This window comes from Homo sapiens, chromosome 9 (assembly GCF_000001405.40).
Source record: "Homo sapiens chromosome 9, GRCh38.p14 Primary Assembly".
In the NCBI taxonomy this organism is placed as follows: domain Eukaryota; kingdom Metazoa; phylum Chordata; class Mammalia; order Primates; family Hominidae; genus Homo; species Homo sapiens.
In genome coordinates, this window is record NC_000009.12 from 134,124,813 (window position 1) to 134,131,449 (window position 6,637).

A 6,637-nucleotide genomic window follows, 5' to 3' on the forward strand; every position below is an offset into this window, starting at 1 on the left:
GTAAATAAATAAAAACTGTACCTTTGGCTGGGAAATGGTGGCTCACGTCTGTAATCCCAGCATTTTGGGAGGCCGAGGTGGGTGGGTCACCTGGGGTGAGTTCGAGACCAGCCTGGCCAACATGATGAAATCCCATCTCTACTAAAAATACAAAAAATTAGCTGGGCGTCGTGGCAGGCACCTGTAATCCCAGCTACTCGGGAGGCTGAGGCAGGAGAATTGCTTGAACCCAGGAGGCGGAGGTTGCGGTGAGCCAAAACCGCACCACTGCACTCCAGCCTGGGCAACAAGAGGGAAACTCCATCTAAAAAAAAACAAAACTGTACCTTTGAGGGCTTGCCGAGTCTAGCCCCCTTATTGCATAAGAATCCTTAAAACCCCAGACGGGTTGGGCTTCCCATTTTACAGCAGAGGAAACTGAGGTGTAGGGAGGTGCCTAGGTGTGTCTGACTCTAAGCTAAACACATGTTTTTAACCCCTGTGCAGTTCAGAGTCTCGTAAACCTCTGGCTCCATGTTCTCGTCAGGATCCCTCTGCTGAGAGCTCAGCGCAGGTGGCAGGGCTGGACACAGGAGATGGGGACGAGGCCCATGCTGTAGAAGGGGCAGATCTGGGATCTCACCCTAGACAGACCATCCAATGGGAAGGGTCCGGGATTGCGGGACAGAAAGAGGAGACAAGAGAGCCAGGCTAGCAGCGCCCAGATGGACAGACACGTAGTCTCTGGGTGCGTTGCTGGAGGAGCATCCCACGATGGCTGGAACTGTCTGGATGCTGTGCCAGGCAGGCCAAAGTGGCCAGTCACATCGCAGCTGCTCTCAGCTCCTCTCGGCCACCACGGGCTCTGCTGAAGTGGCAGCCCTGAGCCGGGACACTCCCCACTCCCAACAGACATAGCTGGCGAGGAGGGCACTGCCTATAGGTGGCCTCCACAGGCTTGTGTGGGATCCCACACTGCAAGATTCTCCCTCAGGAAGGGAATCTGGGGACCCTGGAGAGACTGAGGCCCTTGAGGGATGAGCCGAGGCTGGAGGAGGGGATGAGGCTGTGCGGGCAGTGTAGTCCCAGGACCATGGCTGGCTCAGCGCCAGAGGAAGGAAAGGCTGGGAAGGAGGCGCTGAGACTTGAGCCGAGGGGAGAGCCAGAGAAGGGGAGGGGAGGCTGTGAGGATGGACTTGCATCCAGGTCACATTGGGCTGGGCCCAGAGCAGTTTCTCCAAGTGTGGCCAGGAGCTTACAGGTGGCTGTTTAGAACTACAGATTCTGGTCTGGTGTGGTGGCTCCCGCTTGTAATCCCAGCACTTTGGGTGGGTGGATCACGAGGTCAAGAGATGGAGACCATCTTGGCTAACATGGTGAAACCCCCCTCTACTACAAATACAAAAATTAGCTGGGCGTGGTGGCACATGCCTCTAATCCCAGCTAGTCCGGAGGCTGAGGCAGGAGAATTGCTTGAACCTGGGAGGTGGAGGTTGCGGTGAGTCGAGATCACGCCATTGCACTCCAGAGGAGGTGACAGAGTGAGACTCCATCTCAAAAAAAAAGAACTACAGATTCCTGGGCTCCTCCCCAGACCTACCGGGGGGCCGGGGAACCTGCATTCCACCAGCTCCCCAGGTCATTCTGTTGCATCCTGAAGTCTGAGAGGCACTTTGCCTAAGTGAGGAGCCCGGAAACGTGGCCCAGCCCGTCTGCAGCGACTTTTGCAAGGGTTCCCTCTGCTGCTGCCCTTCACCGCTTCCCGCAGGTCCTGCTCTCACCCGACTGGCCTAAAGCTCACAGTGTCTCTGCCTCTCACAAACAGCCCTGCAGGGCGGGACCCTGCCCACACCACCCGCCTCGTTTGGGGTGAAAGGCAGAGCCTGCAGAGACAAGTGTGTCCAGGCCCCTCCGAGACCCGGTCAGCCTTTGGGCACTGGGGTCCAAGTTAGGGTCCATCCTTCTACACTGCTACCCCCAAATGATGTTATTTTATTTTATTTTTTTATTTTTTTTGAGACGGAGTCTCGCTCTGTCGCCCAGGCTGGAGTGGAGTGGCGCCATCTCGGCTCACTGCAAGCTCCGCCTCCTGGGTTCACGCATTCTCTTGCCTCAGCCTCCCGAATACCTGGGACTTCAGGTGCCTGCCACCACGCCCGGCTGATTTTTTGTATTTTTAGTAGAGATGAGGTTTCACCATGTTAGCCAGGATGGTCTCGATCTCCTGACCTCGTGATCCTCCCGCCTTGGCCTCCCAAAGTGCTGGGATTACAGGCGTGAGCCACTGCACCTGGCCAGGATGGTTTCTTTCATCCTTGGGCCTCCCTGACCTTCCCCAGCTTGGCACGAGGCAAAGGCCTCCAAGTCGGCCCAGTGTGGGTGGCTGGTCTCTGTGCCAGCTCAGCTGTCTCCTGGCTTCACGTCAAGGAGGGCTGTGAGCATCCCCCACCCACCTTGTCTGCATCGTTCGCCCACCCTTCCCTGTAGCATGCTGGGTGGGGGTGGGGGTCAGCCCTACGCATACCCACCTCTCTGGCTGGATCTCCCCTGTGCCTCCAGCCTCACCCCACTGCCCCCACGCCCTGGCCTTTGCTGACACAGCCCGTCCTCACCCCAGAGGCCTGTGTGGTGCCTGCAGGGCAGCCTGGCTTTTCTGGCGCCTCTGGTTGAACACCACCCAGGAAGGGTCCCTTGATTTTCCACCAACTCGTCAGCATGGCCTTCCATTCCAGAACCTGGCACTGCATCCTGCAACTGTTGCCTGCGGGTCCGGCTCCCCCAGATGGAGCCCTCCCTGAGGGCAGGTACCAGGTGGGCCTGCTTCAGACCCACGACACCTGGCAGTACCTATATAAACACCACTCCAGGGATGCGGGTGACGAGGTGAGGGGTGGGAACTGGGTTGATGGGAGAGATTTGTAGTGGTCTAGCAGCCCTGTGTATCACTCTTCTATTGTGGAAAATGAAGGAGGCTTGTTATTTCTTTCATCGCAAAGGCAGGACACCTGCCTGAAGAGCATCGGTGCTCCCCAGGGAGAACTGAGAGACCCCCCCCCGCCCCCACTTTCTTTTGTGTGTGTGTGTGTGTGAGACAGAGTCTCGCTCTGTCGCCCAGGCTGCAATGCAGTGGCACGATCTCGGCTCACTACAACCTCCGCCTCCCAGGTTCAAACAATTCTCATGCCTCAGCCTCCCGAGTAGTTGGGAGTACAGGCCCCTGCCACCACGCACGGCTATTTTTTGTATTTTTAGTAGAGACAGGGTTTCACCATGTTGGTCAGGCTGGTCTCAAACTCCTGACCTCAGGTGCTCCGCCTGCCTCGGCCTCCCAAAGTGCTGGGATTACAGGCGTGAGCCACCGCTCCTGGCCTTGGTCCTTCCTACTTTCATTCCTTGTGGGCTCCTGTGGAACCATTTCTTCTGCACCCTCCAAAGCCTACCTTCCTCCCCGCATCTGGCTTTGTTTTACAAAACTGGTCATTCTGTGCCCCTTCTCCCATTGCTTGTTTCTCCCTCTTAACAACATGTCGCTGCCGTTGCTCTGTGGCAGGACTACCCAAGCTACCTTATCCTTTTGGCGGCCGTGGACTGTTCCAGAATCCGGATGTCCCATGGCGTATTTACCTATTCCTCTACAGATGGACATTTGTCTCCAATGAGTTCATCATTATAAATACTGCTGCCACGGACATCCTGGGGCAGCCTCAGGCCCTTCTGCAGGTGTCTCTGAAGGAAAGATTCCTGGGAGGGAACTCACAAAGGGTTGTATATTCTAAATGGGCACTGGGGCCAGTGCTGTAATCCCAGAACTTTAGGAGGCTGACGTGGGAGGATACCTTGAGGCCAGGAGTTTGAGACCAGCCTGGGCAACACAGTAAAACCCCATCTCTACAAAAAATTTAAAAAGTTAGCCGGGCATGGTGGTGCACACCTGTAGTTCCAGCTCGTCGAGAGACTGAGGCAGGAGGATCACCTGCACCCCGGGGGATCGAGGCTGCAGTGAGGTGTGACCGTGCCACTGCACCCCAGCTTGGGCAACAGAGTGAGACTTCATCTCCAATAAACAAACCCACAGGCACTTGGGGTCCATCTTTTATTTCTGTCTTAGAAACCACGGTTGTGATTCAAATGACCTCCACGCTCTGGTAGTCCCTGCCTCTCTGGTTTCCGACAGCTTTAACATGAGACCCCAAGATGAGGAACTCAATGTCTGAGGTCAGAACTATCCAGGACCAGCCATGTCCTATGGACTGCACCTCCTCTGCCCGAATTCGAGCCTGCCCACCCTTCCCATAGCCCACCGTGCTGAGATCGGCCCCATGTGCCTGCCTGCCTGCCTCTAGCCGCTGGAGGCGTGGTGGGGTGGCTGCTCCCTGCCTCCAAGGCTGTCCCCCAAGCTCTGTTGGCCACTGGAAGACAGCTGGGAGTAGGGCCCAGGCTGACCGCCTTGGAGAAGCCTCTTCTGCCGCATTCGTGGAGATGCTCAGGCCTTAGCTGGTTTTGTGGGGAGTTAAAGACCGCAGAGGTATAGGGCAGGGGTGGGCAGATGGAGGGGCCGCGAGGGTCCTTGGGGGAGCCAGGAAGGAAGGGAGGTGCTGGGAGCCAGAGACCAGGCCAAGGCCTCCACCTGAGCCCGAGCCTCTCCTCTGCGTCAGCTTTCCTATTTCAGGCAGCTGCTCCCCGCCTAGGGAATTCTCCGCGAGCTGTGGAAAATGCAGCGGGGCGGGCCCTGCGTCTGTGGCTTTTTCCTCTCTTCCTCAGCTACCGCCCCAGGGCCCGGCCTTCAGTGCCTCGGGCTGGCGAGGGCCGCCCCCCTCAAGGCTGGTACGCGCTCGCCTAATCCCACGTCACCTCTTTCCTTAGGTTACTTATCCCCGTGGAGAGTGTGCTGCCTCTTAACCAAGTCAGGGAGCGCTTCTATTTTATCCCAAAGAAACACTTCATCACTGTGAAATCCCAGAAACAATGGGAACGGGCAGCGGGGCTAAAGTGCAGCTGGGGGCGCAGGAGGGAAGGAACTGGGAGCGGGTGTCGGCGTGGAGGGCGGACCACAGAGCTGCTGTGGGGACAGCCGCTCAGGGATGATGTCCACACTTAGGGCCGGTATGACTTCCAGGAACACGTGGCTCCTACGGAGGTCTGCAGAGCAGGGGCAAGCCCCAGCCTGTATGTACTTGGCTGTGTGACATTGGGCAGGTCACTGAGGCTCTCTGGGCCCCTCATTTTCCTCATCTACCAGAGCGTGGAGGTCTTTTAAATCATTTTCCTCATCTGTAAAGATCAGAATAGCTCCCACGTTTGGGACTGAATGAGGTGGTATCTAAAGTTCTTAGGTGGGCCGGGCGTGGTGGCTCACACCTGTAATCCCAGCACTTTGGGAGGCCGAGGTGGGGAGATCACCTGAGGTCAGGAGTTCAAGACCAGCCTGGACAACATGGTGAAACCCCGTCTCTACTAAAAATACAAAAATTAGCCGGGGGAGGTGGTGCAGGCCTGTAATCCCAGCTACTCGGGAGGCTGAGGCAGGAGAATCACGTGAACCCAGGAGGCGGAGGTTACAGTGAGCTGAGATCACACCACTGCACTCCAGCCTGGGCAACAAAGCGAGACTCTGTCTTAAAAATAAAAATAAAGATAAAAATAGGCTGGGCGCAGTGGCTCACGCCTGTAATCCCAGCACTTTGGGAGGCCGAGGCAGGTGGATCACGAGGTCAGGAGATGGAGATCATCCTGGCTAACACAGTGAAACCCTGTCTCTACTAAACTACAAAAAATTAGCCGGGTGTGGTGGCACGCGCCTGTAGTCCCAGCTACTCCGGAGGCTGAGGCAGGAGAATGGAGTGAACCTGGGAGGTGGAGCTTGCAGTGAGCCGAGATGGCGCCCCTGCACTCCAGCCTGGGCGACAGAGCCAGACTCCGTCTCAAAAATAAATAAATAAATAAATAAATAAATAAGTAAATAAATAAAAATAAATGAAGTCCTTAGGTGGGTGACAGGCACACAGTAGGCACTCAGGAATAACAGCTGTGGTGGTTTTTAATAGCTCGGACAGATGGAAATAGTTTGGTATGATGGGGAAGCACGGGTGGAGTACTACTAGCAGCTGCATATAGAGCCCTTAAAAAATGACTCCTACAAACCACCACTGCACTAGCCACACTCCTCCCACCCGGCCCTGTCAAACAAAACTAAACAAAACAAACTAAAGCCTTTGAAAAATCGCCTTGGCTCTTTGGGCCTCTGATTTCCACCTGGTCTGTCCCAGGAGCTGTATCTTTCACAGTGGTCTTTGCCGGGACCCTCTGTAACCAGTGGGATTATGCTGCCGCCACCAGCACCACCGAGAACCCGAGGTGGGGAGGGGATTTGCAGACTGCGCCAGGTGCAGCCTGGCTTTGGAAACAAGGGTCGCATTCCTGGAATTCTGGCTGGGAGATCCGCCCAGCTTGGCCTGACCCAAACTGGTGCCTGCATGGCTTCTGGGCACGCGCAGCTGAGCTCCCAGCACCACCTGGGGGAAGAGGGGGGCCGTCCCCGGGGACACCCTGGCCTGGAGTGGAGTGGAAGGTGGGGCAGGCAGACAGTCATAGGGACTTTTAAGCAAGTTTAACAGGTTTAAATCCCAACAGGAAGTGGAAGAGAACATGCCACCATTCA

At 56.3% G+C, this 6,637-nt stretch overlaps 4 annotated features.

Annotated features, from left to right (window-relative positions):
* Positions 1,289-2,170: an enhancer, noted in NCBI's record as "H3K4me1 hESC enhancer chr9:136991223-136992104 (GRCh37/hg19 assembly coordinates)". NCBI's record gives its function as "activates a minimal SCP1, AML or CMV promoter by ChIP-STARR-seq in primed H9 embryonic stem cells {active_cell/tissue: H9 hESC(primed)}" and the evidence as "EXISTENCE:reporter gene assay evidence [ECO:0000049][PMID:30033119]".
* Positions 2,171-3,052: an enhancer, noted in NCBI's record as "H3K27ac-H3K4me1 hESC enhancer chr9:136992105-136992986 (GRCh37/hg19 assembly coordinates)". NCBI's record gives its function as "activates a minimal SCP1, AML or CMV promoter by ChIP-STARR-seq in primed H9 embryonic stem cells {active_cell/tissue: H9 hESC(primed)}" and the evidence as "EXISTENCE:reporter gene assay evidence [ECO:0000049][PMID:30033119]".
* Positions 4,093-4,938: an enhancer, noted in NCBI's record as "H3K27ac-H3K4me1 hESC enhancer chr9:136994027-136994872 (GRCh37/hg19 assembly coordinates)". NCBI's record gives its function as "activates a minimal SCP1, AML or CMV promoter by ChIP-STARR-seq in naive and primed H9 embryonic stem cells {active_cell/tissue: H9 hESC(naive and primed)}" and the evidence as "EXISTENCE:reporter gene assay evidence [ECO:0000049][PMID:30033119]".
* Positions 4,939-5,782: an enhancer, noted in NCBI's record as "H3K27ac-H3K4me1 hESC enhancer chr9:136994873-136995716 (GRCh37/hg19 assembly coordinates)". NCBI's record gives its function as "activates a minimal SCP1, AML or CMV promoter by ChIP-STARR-seq in naive H9 embryonic stem cells {active_cell/tissue: H9 hESC(naive)}" and the evidence as "EXISTENCE:reporter gene assay evidence [ECO:0000049][PMID:30033119]".